Raw genomic sequence first — 18,522 nt, 5'->3', positions numbered from 1 at the left:
TTTTGTTTGGAAGTTTGGAAGTTTCATTCAGAAAAGTAACCCATGACCACTGAAACAAATCCTGAAAACAGAGAAAAGTATAAAAGCTCAAAACAGAAACAGAAAATCCTACAGAAACCACTCTCCCAGAAAGTACCTATCTTAGTAGTTCATACTGTTTTCTTTCACGGCATTTTGGTTCCTCTAGGTTAACATATACTAAAATTGGAATTATAATTCTGAAATGCTTTTCTCTTTTCGTTTCCAATTTAACAGTGTAGTAGATATTCCTCCGTGTTATTTAAAATTCTTCATGATCATTATTAATGATTGAAAACTTCTGTCCTGTAACAGATATTTTAACATATCATGGTTTAATTAATAATTTCCTTAATGTGGAGCATGCAGGAGGAGCTCTCTACATTTTGCTATTAAAAATAACATGATAGGCCTGGGGGCGGTGTTTCACGCCTGTAATTCCAGCACTTTGGGAGGCCGAGGTGGGTGGATCACGAGGTCAGGAGTTTGAGACGAGCCTGGCCAAGATAATGAAACCCCGTCTCTAATAAAAATACAAAAATTAGCTGGGCACGGTGGCAGGCGCCTGTAATCCCAGCTACTCAGGAGGCTGAGGCAGGAGAATTGCTTGAACCCAAGAGATGGAGGTTACAGTGAGCGGAGATCACGCCACTGCACTCTAGCCTGGGCAATAGAGCAAGATTCCGTCTCAAAAAACCCCCAAAAATTAGCTGGGTGTGGTGGCACACACCTGTAATCCCAGCTACTTGGGAGGCTGAGGCAGGAAAATTGCTTGAACCCAGGAAGCGGAGGTTGCAGTGAGCCAAGATTGCACCACTGCACTCTAGCCTGGGCAACAGAGCAAGACTGTCTCAAAAAAAAAAAAAAACAACCCACAAAAACAAAAATTAGCTGGGTGTGGTGGTGCACACCTGTAATCCCAGCTACTTGGGAGGCTGAGGCAGGAAAATTGCTTGAACCCAGGAAGCGGAGGTTGCAGTGAGCCAAGATTGCACCACTGCACTCTAGCCTGGGCAACAGAGCAAGACTGTCTCAAAAAAAAAAAAAAACAACCCACAAAAACAAAAATTAGCTGGGTGTGGTGGTGCACACCTGTAATCCCAGCTACTCAGGAGGCTGAGGCACAAGAATTGCCTGAACCTGGGAGGCAGAGGTTGCAGTGAGCTGGAATCGCACCATAGCACTTTAGCCTGGACGACAAAGTGAGACTCTGTCAAAAAAAAAAAAAAAAAACCCACAAAAAATAACATGATAAACATCTTTGGGCACAAAACTGCACATTGAGCCATTTCCTGGAATAGACTCCGAAAAGGGGAATTACGTATGCAGTAGAAGGAAAGAGCACTTTTTGAGGCTTTTGATACCTCAAGCAAATGTCCTTTTGTTCTAGACTGGAGGCTATGGTGGGGTGGGCTGCCAGAGACCCTGCTTCCCTGCAGGGGATTCATGTTTCTGCTGAACAGGGGTCCAAACCCATGAGCTCCTGGCTCAGGAAAGGTCCTAGGTGGGCCCATACCCAACAGCTTTTCACAGTGACTTGTGAGAAGCTCTAGGAGTCCTGATGATCTAAATTGTTTCAGTTGAAAGTGGAACAACTAGGAGCATTTTGAAGGCAGAAGTGTCAAGACGCAGAAACTTCTGTGGTGCCAGAAGAGGGGGCTGCCTCCAGCAAGATGGAATTCACCACGGAATATATACCAAGCAGCGTGTGGGCAGGTGTTGTGCACACCACACCCCGCTGCGAGTTGTCCCCGGCTCCAGCCTCTCTATGTTCCTCCCTATCAGCTGACCTCTACACACTCATTTCTTTGCATAGTCTCTGCCTCCCCTAGAATTTCAGCTCCCTTCATCTGTTTTGTTCCCTGCTGTAGACTTAGCCCCCACAAACGTTACCTGGCCCATTGCAGCTGCTCAGTAAATATGCGTGGGCTGAAAGAATGATGAGTGGGGAAGATTGTAAAGACCTGCACAGAGGTCCCAAAATATGATGCTTGTAAGTAAGAATCCTTGCCCGCATTCCTTTACTGGGTTCTTTTTGTTTATTTTGTTTTGTTTTTGAGACAGAGTCTCACTCTTTCACTCAGGCTGGAGCACAGTGGTGCAATCTCAGCTCATTGCAGCTTCTGCCTCCCAGGTTCAAGCAATTCTTATGCCTCAGCCTCCCAAGTAGCTAGGATTACAGACAAGTGCTATCATGCCCCGCTAATGTTTGTATTTTTTTTTAGTAGACATGGGGTTTCACTATGTTGGCCAGGTTGGTCTCAAACTCCTGACTTCAAGTGATCCACCCACCTCAGCCTCCCAAAGTGCTGGGATTACAGGCGTGCGCTCCCGAGCCCGGCCTCCTTTACTGAGTTCTTAATGTGTGCCTGGCATGTATCTCTCGGACACTTCCCAGGTAATTCTGTTATGGATAAGGTGACTACTGTCATCCCATTTATTTCCTGACTCATGCCAGCTTGACATTATAATAAAGCATTTCCCCCATGCTATTTTAAATTCTTTGTGAGCCATAATTTATCTTCCTTTAACATACATAAGAACATTCTGGAATTTGCTCAGTAGCTTGCACAGCTCTAGTATTTACCCAGGAATGGAATTGCTGGGGCCTAGGGTGTGCCTGTGTGTAACCTGCCTCTGTACCTCCAGGTACGTCCTTGCACCTGTACCTCCATTAGCTAGTGTGGCTAATGAGTCCACACTTTCACTCACAGGGCATGAGGCATGAGTGTCTGCACATGCCTGCTAACACTTGGCATCACTGTGCCTTCTTGGCATCACAGTGTCTTCTAATTTTTGCCAGGCTAGTAGGTGTCAAAGATGTCTTATTCTGTTTTTATTTGCATTTCTGATTGCTAATGAGGCCCTAGACCTTCATGCCTGCCCTGCCTGCCCTCACCAGGCCCCTCTGTCCTCCCTTTCCCTACCCTACCCTGACCTCCATGTCTCTTCTGCTTACCCTTCAGAATTTAACATAGACAGACGTTTGCACCTCCGAGGGGCTCTAATCTCAGGCCTCCTCTCTTCCCTCCACGGGCTGCCCTTGTCAATAGCAGCCTGAGGTCGTGTTTACAGATTCTCCTCCAGAGCCTTGCACTGCTGGGATCAGAGTCTGCTCCAGCACCTACAGGCTCTGTGGCCTTAACCAAGGGCCTTAATCTCTCTGAGCCTCAGATCCTTACTTGCAAGCTGGGGATTAAAAATAGCACCTCCTAGAAGACTTTTCTTGAGAATTAGGTGGGATAATTTATTCAAAGTGTTTGGCGCATAGTACTGCTGAGCAAATGTAGCTTTTGGGTTTTAGAGTCCTTGCAGTCCTTGCTTGTCACTATGTTTACCTGACCAGCCTCCAAGCCTAGGGAGTCCTCCTGGGTGGGGCTGTGTTTGCTGCATTTTTGTATTCCCAGCTTCCAGCAGTGCTGGGCAAACCTGAAGTCCTTGACTAATTGGTATGTGTCAGTCTCGCTGGATAAGATTTAAGCATCAAATGAAGGGTTGCTCTAGATGCCCTTTTAAAAGTCTTTTCCAACCCTGAAATTCTCTGATCAGGAAATTATCAAGGAAAAAGTTCTCCTTGCAGGATCTTTTCTAAGATTTCTAAATGGGGACTTTATTACACGGGGCAGGTAATTACAGGAGGCTGCAGCTGCAGCAGAGAGCTTCACATGGCTGGTGGCTGATTGGTGCATTTTGGAGGCTGTCATCTTTGTTCTGACTGGGGGATTGGAATCCTGGCAGAGGCAGGGCCTCTCCCTTAGCAGTACAGTGGAAGGCAGCCCTGCAGGACCCACCCTCAAGCTGGTCAGCCCTCCACTGACTGCCCCAGGGGATGGCAGGCAGCATCTGTTGGCATGTGAATATCAGACAAGTCATGGACAGTAGGAGCAGAGGTGACCGTTGGAACACTCAGCCCAGGAGTCAGTTTCATATATCCCCAGGGGCCACGTGGGTAACACAAATGGGTTGAAACATCTGGGCAAGACAGTAGAGAGCAGTGGGGTCTGCAGTGAATTGTAAAACTGACTAGGTGCCAACCAAAGGAGATGGCTGCCACTCAGCTCTGTGAGATCGTCCTATGGATAATGTGAGCTCAGGGTTCCTGGATCTTCCCCACCTTTTTCAAAGGTAGCCAGAACTCTAGATTTTTATGTAAAACTTTCTGATTATTGTTGCACCTAATTCAAAGTTTTGTTGTGCTCTACAGTGCAGACAAAACATGCCTGTGGGGCAATTGTTTTCATACCTCTGATTTAGCCCAGTATTTGACAGGTTGGGAAACTGAGGCTCAGCAGTTAAGGACTTTCCAGAAGTCCCCAGGGAGTTAGTGACCATGATGGACACAAAGTGCCCAAGTCTGGGCCGGGCGCGTTGGCTCATGCCTGTAATCCCAGCACTTGGGAAGGCCAAAGCAGGCAGATCACTTGAGGTCAGGAGTTCAAGACCAGCCTGACCAATATGGTGAAACCCTGTCTTTACTAAAAATACAAAATTAGCCAAAGTGGGTTGGCACGCGCCTGTAGTCCCAGCTACTTGGGAGGCTGAGGCAGGAGAATCGCTTGAACCCGGGAGGCAGAGGTTGCAGTGAACTGAGATTGCACCACTGCACTCCAGCCTGGGTGAGAGAGTGAGACTCTGTCTCAAAAAAAATAATAAAATAAAAAAATAAAAAAGTGCAAGACTGGGTGAGTTATCCACCAGTTTGGTGGGCTCTTCCCCAGCACCTTTATTCAAGGCAGGGACTAAAGCTTAGAGGAGTAAAGGGACAGGGACTTGCTCAAGGTCACATAGCTTGGAACAGCAGAATCCAGAGAAGGACTGGGGCTTGCTGGCCCTCATCCATGGGACTGTCCAGCCACTGTGTTACTGAAAACGTCCCCATAATGGTTTCAATAAAGTCCTAACCAGGAACTTGGCACAGGGCAAATTCTAGCCTGCTGCCAATCAGCAGGAAAACAGCTCTTATGCCAGTGGGCAGGAAGCTGCCAAGGTGTCACTTCTGCTCAGAGAAAGTGGTTTGTGTATTTGCTGAACTAATATGTTCACCCTGAAGGTACAGAGATCAACTCTATCTCTTTCTGGAGGGTCCCTCCAGCTGGATGCCTGGAGTCTGATTTGACGACATTCCTTTTGCCCTTGACCTGGTGTTCTTAGAGAGCCTGCCTATCAAATCTCATAATCAGTGAGGGATGTTGATTCTTCTTTGTGATCGGGCACATGACTTAGGAAACAAACCTGGGCTTAGAGTTATGAGGGTTGTAAGCAGTTCCAGCTTGCAGTGTTTTAGCTGTGACATTGGGCTGGCCACTTTTATAATTGCTGCCCTGCCAGCCTCACAGAGCTATTGTGAGACTCTGGTTGAATGGATGGATCTAAATTGCCAAGAAAACAGCTAAAGAAATGTAAACTGGTTTTGGCCTTATATTCCTCCTCCTTGAAGGATGACATTTGAGCTGGGACAGGAATGATAGGAGGGAGCCAGAAAATTCAGCAAGTGCAAAGGCCCAGGGGCAGGAATGAGCTTGATTCCCCAAGAATGGATGGGGAGTGTATTAGTCTGTTCTCTGCATTGCTGTAAAGGAATGCATGAGGGTGAGTAATTTATAAAGAAGTGAAGTTTATTTGGCTCACAATTCTGCAGGCTGTACAAAAAGCATAGCACTGGCATCTGCTTTTTGTGAGGACCTCAGGAAGCTTCAAGTTGTGGCAGAAGAAGAAGGGGAGCTGGCATGCCCCATGGAGGGAGAGGGAACAAGAGAGAGGGGAGAGTGCTCATAATAAATATTGATAAAATTATACCTTCTAGGCATAGCAGGGAGGATCAGTAGACTTACCCCCATTAAAGGCATAATAAGGACCAGTGCAATGGCTCATGCCTATAATCCCAGCACTTTGGGAGGCCGAGGTGGGTGGATCACCTGAGGTCAGGAGTTCAAGACCAGCCTGGTGGGTTTAGTAGAAACTCTGTCTCTATTAAAAGTACAAAAATTAGCCAGGCATGGTGATAGGCACCTGTAGTCCCAGCTACCTGGGAGGCTGAGGCAAGAGAATCACTTAAACCTGGAGGTGGAGGTTGCAGTGAGCCGAGATCGCACCACTGCACTGCACTCCAGCCTGGGTGACAGAGCAAGACACCGTCCCCTCCTACCAAAAAAATAGACATAATAAAAGCTAACATAATATTTATATAAATAGAGGGCATTTGGTAATTATGATTTATCACAATCTACTGAGTTGAAATCATTTGTTTTGGTTTAACTGAGTACCAATTCATTCTAACCTCTTTTGGGCTTACTCATAGGCTAGGCCTAGGATTAAAATAATAATTAGTATGAGAGCTGTGCTAATTATTAATTTTAGGTTGCTTGTCTGGAAAACTCATGGTAAGGGTAATAGTAAGAAGATTTCTCCATCAAAGAGGAGAAATGTCATGACTTCTAGAAAAAACTTTATGGAAAAGGGGAGGTGGCCAGAGCCTACTGGGTCAAAACCTCATTCGTAGGGGCTCTTTTAAACAATGAGAACCCTTGAGAACTAGTAGAGTGAGCACTCACTCATTACCCGGAGGACAACATCAAGCCGTTCATGAGAGATTTGCTCCCCATGACCCAGATGCCTCCCACAGGGCCCCACTTCCAACACTGGGGATCACATTTTAAGGTGAGATTTGGAGGGGACAAATATCCAGACTATATCAGGAGCTGACATGACTGAAACAGAGTAAGGGAGAAAGCAGTAGGACAAAGCAGAAGGGGGCTGAAGTCTTGCCAGGAGCAGGGTGTGGGCCCAGGAGGCCTGCTGCCTGGCGTGGCATGGGAGCGAGCTCTCTTGCAAGATGGCAGTGAGGACCTCGTCCTCGGAGGCAGGCCTTTCCACTAAGGCCAGGACCATGATGGGAGAGCAGAGAGGTCCAGAAAATGAAGAAGCTGGCAGAGGGTGGGGGAGTTGGATCACCCCAAAGACATCATCAGGAAGGGAGGGGCAGGTCATCTGGGCTGTGAAATATGAGTAGGGTTTGTCTGGGCAGCAAGAGGGAGATGGACTTCCCAGAGGGCTTGGCATCTGCTGGGGGAGCGGGGGGCCATCGGAGGACGGCACATGGCAATGTGTGGTGTTGCTTCCCTCCTGCCTTGGAAGCTGTGAGTACCCCCACAGGATTGAATTGAAGGCCTAGAACCCTGGATGGGAAAAACCAGGAACCCAGGAGATCTCGAGGGTCTTAGCGGGCAGACCCATGTGATGTCTGAACCCTGACCCTCCCCACCTAGTGCCCCAGGATTGCAGAACACCTCCTTCCTTGTAGCCTTGCTCATTTGCTCAGAAGTCAAGGCCCAGGATGGAATCTCATTGCCTGAGAATGCAGGAGTACGAGGAGCTTCTAGGGAGCCCTTGCTTCTGTCGTGGGAGGGCAGCCTGTGCATTTACCATCCCACTAGGAGAGCATGCGGTGGAGGAGAGGTGCTCCCCAGGAAAGGACTGGCGGCTGTAAGATGGGAGCACAGGATCCTTTGGGAGCAGGGCAACCCCAGCCCACCCTCACCCTCTTGATTCCTGCCTGTTCCATTCTCTTCCATGGCATGGAAGGAGCCCTCACCCCAGGCTCCTTGCTGGAGATATGACGGGGAGCAAATAGCTGTGACACTGGTCCATTCTGAGCTCCTGCAGTGATCCTAAAGCCAAAATGAATAGTACCCAATGCCTGTGGCCAGGGAGCTTGCTGTACTGGGTGGGAAATGGTCCTATGAAGAATGAACTAGGGATGGGTCATTGGTGTTAATCTTAGATCCCCATGAGTAAGAAAGGACATACCTTTGTTGTCTGTGTCACTTTGATTATTAGTGAAGTAAAACTACTCTTTGTAGCCTATTGGTTGTGTGCATTTCTTCAATATTGATTTGCCTTTTATCTACTATTTTAAAAAATTTGTGTTGTGTGCATTTGTGATGATCGTTTTTGCAAGAGCTCTTTGTGTTTATTATGGATATTAGCCAGGTGCCCGACATGGGCTGAAAATACGCTTCCTGGTTTGCCATTTAGTTTGCACTGTCATTCAGGGCATTTAGTCTCTTAGCACAGGGATCAAAATTTTTTCTTTTCTTTTTTTTTTTTTCCAGACAGAGTCTTGCTCTGTTACCCAGGCTGGAGTGCAATGGCGTAATCTCAGCTCACTGCAACCTCCACCTCCTGGGTTCAAGCAATTCTCCTCCCTCAGCCCCCCAAGTAGCTGGGATTATAGGCGCAAGTCACCACGCCTGGCTATTTTTATTTTTGTATTTTTAGTAGAGATGGGGTTTCACCATGTTGGCTAGACTGGTCTTGAACTCCTGACCTTGTGATCCGCCCGCCTCAGCCTCCCAAAGTATTGGGATTACAGGTGTGAGCCATTACGCCCAGCCAAAACCTTTTTCTAGAAAGAATCAGATAATAAATATTTTAGGCTTTGAGAGCCGTGCCATCTCAGTACCATCTGTTTGTGCCATTGGAGCACGAAAGTAGCCGTGGACACTGTGTACACAGACGTTCACATTTCTTATGTGTTCAGTCTTTTCTTCTATATAAATATGGGAGGCCTTCCGTACTCCAAAATTAAATGAAAGAAAAACAAAAAACTAGAGAAGAGGAAAAGTCCTGAAAAGTGATGTAAGTGTAATGCCCCAGCAGTGATGAGTGCTCACAGAAGATGTACTGGAATCTCCTTGGATCTCGGTAGGTCTTTAGTTCTCAGGAGAAGAGGCGAGAGTGGGCGCTGCTGCAGACAGGGGCAAAGTCACGAGTGAAGGCCGAGGCATCTGGGCCTGGGGGAGCTCTTCAGCAGGGCTGGGGTGGGGGTAGCACTCCAGAGGGGTGTCCCCTCATCCTGTGCCTCTCCTCTGATCTTTATTCTTTCCACTGACATTGATGACCGTGTTCTCTGAGGACACTGGGCCCATTGTGTCTTGAGAGACATGTTCAGCCAACCACCTGGTCTTCGTCAGTCCCAGTGAGACCCCAGGTGAGACCCTCCAGCTTCCTTCTATGGAAGCCATCAGGCCCCTTCCTCCCCTCTAATCCGGACCCTCCCAGAGACTGGATTGTCAGGTTTGATCTTAAGGAATCACATGTGAATTTTACTCTTAGCTCCTCTACCCTTTTCTTTTAATGTTGTTTCAAAGATGTTCTTAAACCCAGTGCTGTATTCAAGATATAACTTTCCTATCCTATAACTTTGAATGATAAACTAAAAAACCCAGCTGGTTTTGCAAAGGGTTTTCTGAGTGTGAGAGGGTCAGATGGGTGTTCTCCCTGTCTCCTCCCGACCCTCAGTTTGGTTGGTCTCATGACGTACTGGAGAAACAGGCTCGGGCCTGGACCAACCCTGTGCGGACTCAGACTCACAGCTGGCCATAGGACCTGGGACAGGCCCTTCACCTTTCAATGGCCTCCGAGATGATGGTATGTGTGATGCTTAATATTGACTGTCAACTCGTTTGATTGAATGATAAAAGGTATTGTTCTTGGGTGTCTTTGAGAGTGTTACTAAAGGAGATTAACCTTTGAGTCAGTGGACTGGGAGAGGCAGACCCACCCTCAATCTGAATGGGCACCATCTAATCAGCTGCCAGCATGGCTAGGATAAAAGCAGGCAGAGGAACGTGGAAGGACTAGACTGGTAGACTGGCTGAGTCTTCCGGCCTCCATCTTTCTCCTGTGCTGGATGCTTCCTGCCCTCGAACATCGGACTCCAAGTTCTTCAGCTTTTGGACTCTTGGACTTACACCAGTGATTTGCCAGGGGCTCTTGGGCCTTTGACCACAGACTGAAGGCTGTGCTGTTGGCTTCCATCCTTTTGAAGTTCTGGGTCTCATACTGATCCACCACTGGTTTCCTTGATTTTCAACTTGCAGACGGCCTATCATGGGACTTTACCTTGTGATGGTGTGAGTCAATTCTTCTTAATATTTTTGTTTTGTTTTGTTTTGAGACAGAGTCTCGCTCTGTTGCCAGGCTGTAGTGCAGTGGCTCATTCTCAGCTCACTGCAACCTCTGCCTCCCGGGTTCAAGCGATCCTCCTGCCTCAGCCTACCAAATAGCTGGGACTACAGGTGCATGCCACCATGCCCAGCTAATTTTTTGTATTTTTAGTAGAGATGGGGTTTCACCACGTTGGCCAGAATGATCTCAATCTCTTGACCTCATGATCTGCCCGCCTCGGCCTCCCAAAGTGCTGGGATTACAGGCATGAGCCACCGTGCCTGGCCTTCTCCTTAATAAACTCCCCTTTATATATACATCTATCCTATTAGTCCTGTCCCTCTAGAGAACCCTGACTAATAGTATGTGACTCGAAAGGTCTCTAGTGAAGGTGCAGTGAGACAACTTAGGTAGTATCTGTTGGTGTGGCACGTTGGCATCACTCCGGAGCCTGGTGACCTAAGTTTGGGTGACTGACTTTGCTGCCTACTAGCTGTGTGCCCTGGAACAAGTGACTTCACCTCTTTGTGCTTGTGTAAATATGGAGAGATGATAAGTCACCTACTAATAGATTGTTTGGAAGATTGAATGGCTTAATCCACATCAAGTGTCTGAAACAGTGCACATCTACATAGCTGGGAAATGTTAGCCATTGTAGGCCAAGGGCCAGTCACATACTAGGTGTTCAATAAATACAACCACCCTTCTGTTATTAGATGTGCTGGAACAATTCCATTACACTAACTTTTGCTACTTTTGCAAGAACCACAGATTTAATGCCTATCTACCTCCCCATAAGTACTGTTAATTAAAGTCCCCAAGCCCAGATAACCTTGCTTTCCTGTCCTTAGCAAGCTCTGGCTGGACAAGAATTTTTAAAATGTGTTTGTTGATCTTTTAAAACCCCTAAGATGAGTATTTACTGCCAAAATGTGCAAGTGTATCACAAGGATTTAATTCAGGCACTAGATAATAATGCTGGAGATTTAAAGAAGGAAAATGACGAGGTTTTCATTTCTTTGCCCTCTATCTGCTATGGCTACAAGCACTTCTGTTTATCATTTAAAATCCTATTTGAAAAGGTCACTGGTTATTTGCGTGAATCATACAGTGTGAGGACTTAGGAAAAAAGAGCCAAAGATTGGCCGCCGCAGTCACCTGCTTCATTCCCTGTCCTTCCCCTGTGATGGAGTTTGCTCCGAGTCTCTGCTGTTCTCAGCTTATGGTGGCCACCATGGGGTACAGGAGGACCACTGGGTCCAGGCAACATGACGCTGTCAGTAATGATGAGAAAACCAGACACTGCTCAGAGTGCATGGAGTTTGTAAATCCACTTGAAATTGGGCTGGTGCAACTGAGGAACGGTGCTTTAAATTTTATTCCATTTTAATTATTAGCTAATTATTTTAATTAATTAGCTAATTAATTAGTGGCACTAATTAGTTAATTAATGCAATTGAAAAACTGCATTTTAAACTGAAATTTTCAATCCACTCTCATTTTTACTTGCATTCCCATTTTACAGAGGAGAAGTCTGAGGGTCCAAATGCTTTAGCACAGGTTTAGAATTGCCCGGCATGTACATAGTGGACCCGCTCTCTTCAGATAGGTGCAGACTATCTCTGAAAGCTCACTCTGCCTCAGTTCCTCTCTAACGATGTGCAGCAGGTATTCACCAAGCTTCCAGTAGCCTGTGTTTCACATGATGTGAGGTGAAGGGGTGATGGTATATTTATTGGCCTCGTATCTGATAGTTGCCTGCACATTGTGCCCAGAGAAGCACTTTGGGAAGTGGAGCTGGTGTTCAAAAGGCCACTAATTGGCTTATTCCCCAGGATTCATCTTCAGTTGTTGAAATCTATTTTTTGAAAGGCTTAACCTGGGAAGTCCCCTGAAAACAGGTGTGTGATGCAGTAGGGACAGCGGGAAACCAGGGGAAGTTTCCAGAGAGAAGTGTGAAGAGCCATTCTCCATTGCTATTTTTTTTTTTTTTTTTTTTGAGACAGAGTTTCACTCTTGTTGCCCAGGCTGGAGTGCAATGGTGTGATCTTGGCTCACTGCAACCTCTGCCTTCTGGGTTCAAGCAATTCTCCTGCCTCAGCCACCCGAGTAGCTGGGAATACAGGCGTGTGCCACCAAGCCCAGCTGATTTTTTGTATTTTTAGTAGAGATGGGGTGTCACCATTTTGGCCAGGCTGGTCTCGAACTCCAGACCTCAGTTGATCCACCCGCCTTGGCCTCCCAAAGGACTGGGATTACAGGCGTTAGCCACGGTGCCTGGTCCTCCTTCACTAATTTTTGCTGGGTTACATTCACTGCCCTCCAGAGGGACATGATCAGCTCTGCTTCCCTCACTGACCTCGTCCTGTAAAATTATCCCTTTTACTCAGCACACCTGTCCCACACCGGCTGAATACCACCAGCTACTTTCCACCCTGTGATCTCCCACTGGCATGTCCCTCCGCCTGAGCTCCGCTCTCCTCACATGGTGTTTGCAAGCGGCTCACTCAGGAGCTCAGTCTCATGGTCCCCCTGGTGCCCCACGCCCTGTCATTTGCAGTGATGTTCTGTGATCCTCACAGGAGGCTTGTGAAGTCCTATTCTCATTTTACAGATGAACCTTAGAGAGGCTCCATAGCTAACTCAGAGTCTCCCGTCAAGTGAAACACAAGGGTGGAACCCACGTCTGTCTGGCCCTAGACCCTGTGCCTCAACTGCACAACCAGTGTTCTCCGATAGAACTTTCCCAGTGATGGAAATATTCAATATCTGTACTGTCCTGTTCAGTAGCCGCTCACTGCATGAGGCTACTAAGCACTTGAAATTTGGCTGGTGACACTGAGGAACTGTGCTTTAAATTTCATTCAGTTTTAGTTAATTAGCTAATTATTTTAATTTATTAGCTAATTTAGTTAGGAACACTAATTAGTTAATTAATGAGTGCATCTGAGGAACTGCATTTTAAACTTAAAATTTAATTTTAATTGGAAATAGCCACATGAGGCTAGTAACTGTAAAGAACTGTGACAAGCCTGAGATGTCTCCCTATTTGCAAGCTGACAAATTAGCCTGCTGACAGATGCTGGCAGAAGACAGGAGCTTCCTGGATCAGAGACAAGGGACTTCATTACTCAAAGCACAGCGGGCAGCCAGCTTGAGTTTCATACTTGCGTCATTTCTGCTTGCCTCTAAGTCTTATGGGGTTTTGTGCAAAAGCATTTACCATTATCTGCACTGTTTTGTATGATGCACAAGCTTTCAGAGAGGGACTATATATTTCACTCCTCATTGTATCTCCAGTATCCCAAAGAGAGCCTGGCACATTCTTGGGACCCAACGAGTCTTTACTAAATGACCAATGGCTCTGGTTCCTCACAAAAGCCAAGAGTCTGGACTCGGTGGTTATAGAGGATCCTCCCAGCTCTTGAGAAAGGTCTCTGAATTTGAGCGAGTGCCCTGCTTCTGAGATTGTCTCTTCCTTACAGTCGCTGCAGAGATCAGCCTCAAACAGGGATCTCAGTTTCCTCCCTGTAGAACCTGAGTCTGGGACTCCGTGCACGTAGATTGCAGAGGAAGTGTTCCAGGGAAAGGGTGGGGGACACAGGGCTACGCAGGGGAGCTGCTGAGCAGGGATGTGCTCCCAGCTAGAGTCAACCTTCAGCCTGATCCCACGGCCAACCCCAGAGCACAAACTGTACCATGAGGCTGTCCCACAAACCTGAAAATTTGGCCTGGACTCAGGGACATTTGGGAGCCTCAGAAGATTATAGGCAGCAGAAAGGAAAGACAGGAATCCGATAATTCCACATAAGAAACGTGTTCTGGACTCTGGAGTCCAGGTAGTTTGGTGTTTGAATCAGACTCCAGGTGGCAGTAGGGAAGAGAAATGAGTGTGCCTCCACGCTGTTGGGGAAAGATGCCTTTTTTTCAACTCTAGTACTTACCATCAGTGGGGGAAACTGAAGGAAAAGGTAAAGGAGGCCAACCCTGTGTAACCCCATGTCCCTCTGTCATTGTCTGTGGGCTGCCTAGGGTGTGGGGGGTGAGAGGGTGGGCACCTCCCAGGGGAGGCAGCTCCTCTGTGGCCAGAGGCAGTTCTCTGGATCAAGGGACAGCTGTGAGCTGTCAGCAGCCAATAGTCACAGCAGCTGAGGGGTGGTGGCCCAGCCAGAAGAGGCCTCTGGGCAGAGTGCCAGCAGCATCTACTCTGCAGGGACCCAGCACCTTCCAGGTAGCCTGACCCCAGCTAAGGAAATGAAAACCTGAAACCTGCCTTTCCAGGTGAAGTGGCTCCGAGGGTCACCGGGCGTAATTTGCTACCTAAGGAAAGTCCAGTGGTTCTTGATTACCATCCCCTGCCCTCCATGCTGCTCAGGTTTCCTGCTCGTCCTTTGGGCTGGCCTGGAGAAGAAAGAAACAATACGTCTTCTTTTCTTCATGTCCCTACAATGTGCCAGGAACTCTCCAAGAGACTTGGCCTATATTATCTCATCTAACTTTCCCAGCAACCCCGAGAAATGGGCCTGGTAATGCCCGTGCCTGCAAGGTGGAAGCCGTGGCTGGCAGAGGTGAAATACCTTCCTGGGAATACCTTCACAGCTAGGAATGGCAGTGCCAGGACTCGAAGCCAACCCTCCTGGGCCAAAGCCTATGCTCTTCCCTACCATCGCCATGGGCGTGGGTTGTGGGGAAGATGCATCACAAGACTGTGCCTTCCTGTTCTTTCTCTTTCTCCAGGCAGACCCAGAAGGCACTGCAGGACTTCAGAGAGCAAAGAGGGAAGTCAAGGAACCTTATCCTGTGGTTTCCTCTACTGATGAGTGGTGGAGTTGAGAATGTCCATCTTTCCCCAACAGCATGGTAGCACACTCATTTCTCTTCCCTACTGTCACCTGGCATCTGATTCAAACACCAAATTACTTGGACTCCAGAGTCTAGAACACGTTTCTTATGTGGAATTCTTGGATTTCTGTCTTTCCTTCCTGCTGCCTATAATCTTCTGAGGCTCCCAAATGTCTCTGGGTCAAGGACTAACTTGTAGGCCTGGGTTTTGAGGTCCCTCTGCAGTTTGCCAAGTTTCTTTATTTTTATTTTTATTTATTATTTATTTATTTATTTATATATTTATTTTTTAGTAGAGACAGGGTTTCACCGTGTTCGCCAGGATGGTCTCCATCTCCTGACCTTGTGATCCACCCACCTCGGCCTCCCAAAGTGTTGGGATTGTAGGCGTGAGCCACCACACCCAGCCCAGCTTTTTTTTTCTTTTTTTTGGGACAAAGTCTCACTCTTGTCCCCCAAGCTGGAGTGCAATGGCACGATCTCGGCTTACTGCAACCTCCGCCTCCCAGATTCAAGCAATTCTCCTGCCTCAGCCTCCTGAGTAGCTGGGATTACAGGTGCGTACCACCACGCCCGGCTAATTTTTGTATTTTAAGTAGAAACGGGGTTTCACCATGTTGGCCAGGCTGGTCTCGAACTCCTGACCTCTGGTGATCTGCCCACCTCTGCCTCCCAAAGTGTTGGGATTACAGGCGTGAGCCACCGTGCCCAGCCGCAGTTTGCCAAGTTTCTTCCAACCAATCCTATCTTTCAAGGTTGCCCATCACCATCTCCCACTGTAATACAAAGGAGATCTGCCATTTATTTGCTTAATACCTAAAAATATTTGCTCTTATTTAGGGAGCCCTTGCCACATGCCCAAGCTGGGCAGATCGCTTTGTACGTGTTGTCTTGTGTGAGCCTCACAAGGACCCCATCAGGTCAGTCCTGTTGTTCTCATCTTACAGATGAAAAATTGGAACTCAGTGAGGTATAATAACCTATTCAAAGTCTCAAAGCCAGTGAGGAATAGAACAAGGGTTAATGCAAGTCAGTCTGGCCCAGAACCTGTGCTCTCTACTTCTCGGTCAGCACTCTCCAATAGAACTTTCCTGATGATGGAAATGCTCTATGTCGGTACTGCCCAGGTCAGTAGCTGCTAGCCACATGAGACTGTTAAGCACTTGAAATTGAGCTGGTGCAACGGAGGAACTGTTCTTTAAATTTTATTCTATTTTAATTCAGTTAATTTAATTAGTGGCATTAATTAGTTAATTAATGAGTGCAACTGAGGACTTGTATTTTAAATTTAAAATATAAGTTTAATTAGAAATAGCAGGTGAGTGCAGTGGCTCACGCCTGTAATTCCAGCACTTTGGGAGGCCGAGGTGGGTGGATTGTGGGGTCAGGAGTTCGAGACTAGCCTGGCCAATATAGTGAAACCCTGTCTCCACTAAAAATACAAAAATTAGCCAGGCATGGTGGCACACACCTGTAATCCCAGCTACTCAGGAGACTGAGGCAGGAGACTCGCTTGAACCCAGGAGGTGGAGATTGCAGTGAGCCAAGATTGCACCACCGCACTCCACCCTGGGCGACAAGAGTGAAACTTCGTCTCAAAAAAAAAAAGAAAAGAAAAGAAAGAAAAGAAATAGCCACGTGAGGCTAGTAGATATAAAGAACTGTGACAGACCTGAGATGTCAACCTATTTGCAAGCCAACAAATTAGCTCGTTGGCAGATGCTGACAAAAGATAGCAGCTTCCTGGATCAGAGCCAAAAGACTTTACTCCAGCACGGCAGGCAGCCTTAAGTTTCATGTTTACATCATTTCTACTTGTACCCCAAGACCCACGGGCTTGCTTCATAGATGAGGAACCACAATCTTTTATTATAATGGGCTGCAAGTGAACCTACTCAACTTCTCTCTTGGAGGGAGGCATTATCTTTATGATACTGGAGAGTAAGCACACCTGAGCCCTGCTCTGGAAGGAGACACTATCTCTATGTTCCAGGCTCTGTGCCTCCTTAAAAAGGTAGTTCAGAAAAGAAGGCTGTCAGTGCTTCTGCTTGCAAGACACACAGAAGTGCAAGAGACCCATGAAGAATTGTCTGTCAACCATGGATCCTGCATTGGATACTGCAACTCCAAATTGTCTGCAGTGCCTGTTCTGGGATGTTTCACATGTACTACATCATTGACCACCCCCAGGTGTCTGCAGAGTTAGCCCGTCTTTTCTGTTTAGCAGATGAAGAAACTGAGGCTCACTCTCACCCAACTTCCTGAACTTCGAGATCGTGGATTCTCCTCCCCATTACCAACTCTTTCTACTTCCCCCTAGATCCCCCGAAAAAACAAAAATCTGGAATGTTTGTCCTCCTCACTCCTTTTCAAAACTTTACCCTCCAAGACTAGAATTCCTTTTCTCTTCTGCCTTGTCATCTTCTTCCCATTTTCCAGAAGAGTTGCCAGTCTGACCTCCTCTCCGAAGCCTTCCCTGCCCAGCCCAACCTATGCTGAATTCCCCTGTCTCTTCTCGACCATAGAAGGTCCTATCTCATACTCTTGAGTGGAAGCTCTTGAGGGCAGAGCCTGTACCTTCCTGTGGCCACTCTCCCCCAGCATGGCCTATCTCAGGACTTGGGGGAAAAACAAACTAACAAATAAGGACTCAAAAAACCAAACCAGAAACAAGCAGCTATTATTTTATGCCTGGGATTGACTTCCCACTTCACTACCCACTTTCAGTTCCAGGCCCCAGGCAGTGGGTGAATGGGCTTGATTCTTTCCCAGAAACGGGAGATGTTTTGAAATGACTCAAAGAAAAGCTGATTGGATTGGATTGAGTTTTGGTAAATCCACCCACAAGAGCAGAGAAACTTGACATTTGCCTTCCAAGCCAGCAAAAGGGATGAATCTCATTTCCTTCTAACTGAGCAGGAGGCCCAGCGATGGAATGATGACTGAGCAGGTCTCAGGAGACTGGGTTCTAGTCCAAGTTCTGAGGCTGGCTGGCTCCATGACCTTGGGGAAGGCACTGCCCTTTTCCAGGCCTTAGTTTCTCATCTATGATGCAGGACTGGAGGAGGGGGAGAGGAGTCAGACTCTCCAGATGCCCTCCCTCCCCACCTTCCATGCTGGGCTTCAGTGATCCTCCAGGCTGGGAAAGCCCAGCCTTCACAGGAACCCAGTGAAGTTCTGCTCCTCCCAGCCTCCTTTCTGCCACCTCCCTGAGCAGGACCAGCCTCCCCTCCTCTCCATGTACAGTGTAGACATCCCACACTGCCTGGCTGAGGGAGCACCTACTGTAAGGCTGTGCTGAAAGAGCAGCACTTGATTCTAATCCAGACTCCTCTATCTTCAGCCCTAATGCATCACCTCATCGTAAACATAATTCACAGTGCTGCCATCTCTGCCTTTCAAGGTGGGCAGTGCATGTTTTTTTCTCCACTCTCGTTCAGTTATTTTTAGGAAATGCCATGTAGTTCCATATACTTGACATGTACCTGCTTTCACTACATCTGGAGATATTCAGGAAAGTCCTTGTTAACGATAAGGCCTAGGGTGGAGCTGCGACGTACTTGCCATTTGTAAAAGCCAGGCAGAAGAGTCCATGCGGGTTAGACACAGATAAGGAAAAACAATTGATCAAAGAACAATTGGCCCAGCTAGGGTGGAGTTTCTTAAGGCAGCCAGGAAGTGGGGGGCTGGACGGAGGGAGGAAGGAAAGGAAGG

At 47.4% G+C, this 18,522-nt stretch overlaps 1 protein-coding gene across 6 annotated transcripts in view; it reads left to right on the top strand.

The window, feature by feature from the left end:
• ST3GAL1 (ST3 beta-galactoside alpha-2,3-sialyltransferase 1) overlaps window positions 1-18,522 on the top strand; it is a 117,040-nt gene that overhangs the window by 49,863 nt on the left and 48,655 nt on the right. Inside the window, exon 3 of one of the 6 annotated variants that reach the window (XM_006716617.3) lies at window positions 14,704-14,826. The exons of 4 other annotated variants lie outside the window; for them this stretch is intronic. The gene's annotated coding sequence lies outside the window, so the exon portion shown is untranslated. Of the gene's footprint in view, window positions 1-14,703; window positions 18,212-18,522 lie in introns of all 6 variants that reach the window. One more of the 6 variants, XM_047422106.1, reaches the window with a different exon arrangement.

The sequence above is a fragment of the Homo sapiens genome, chromosome 8 (genome assembly GCF_000001405.40).
Source record: "Homo sapiens chromosome 8, GRCh38.p14 Primary Assembly".
NCBI classification, from domain to species: Eukaryota; Metazoa; Chordata; class Mammalia; order Primates; family Hominidae; genus Homo; species Homo sapiens.
This window is presented reverse-complemented; position numbering and strand designations above follow the sequence as displayed.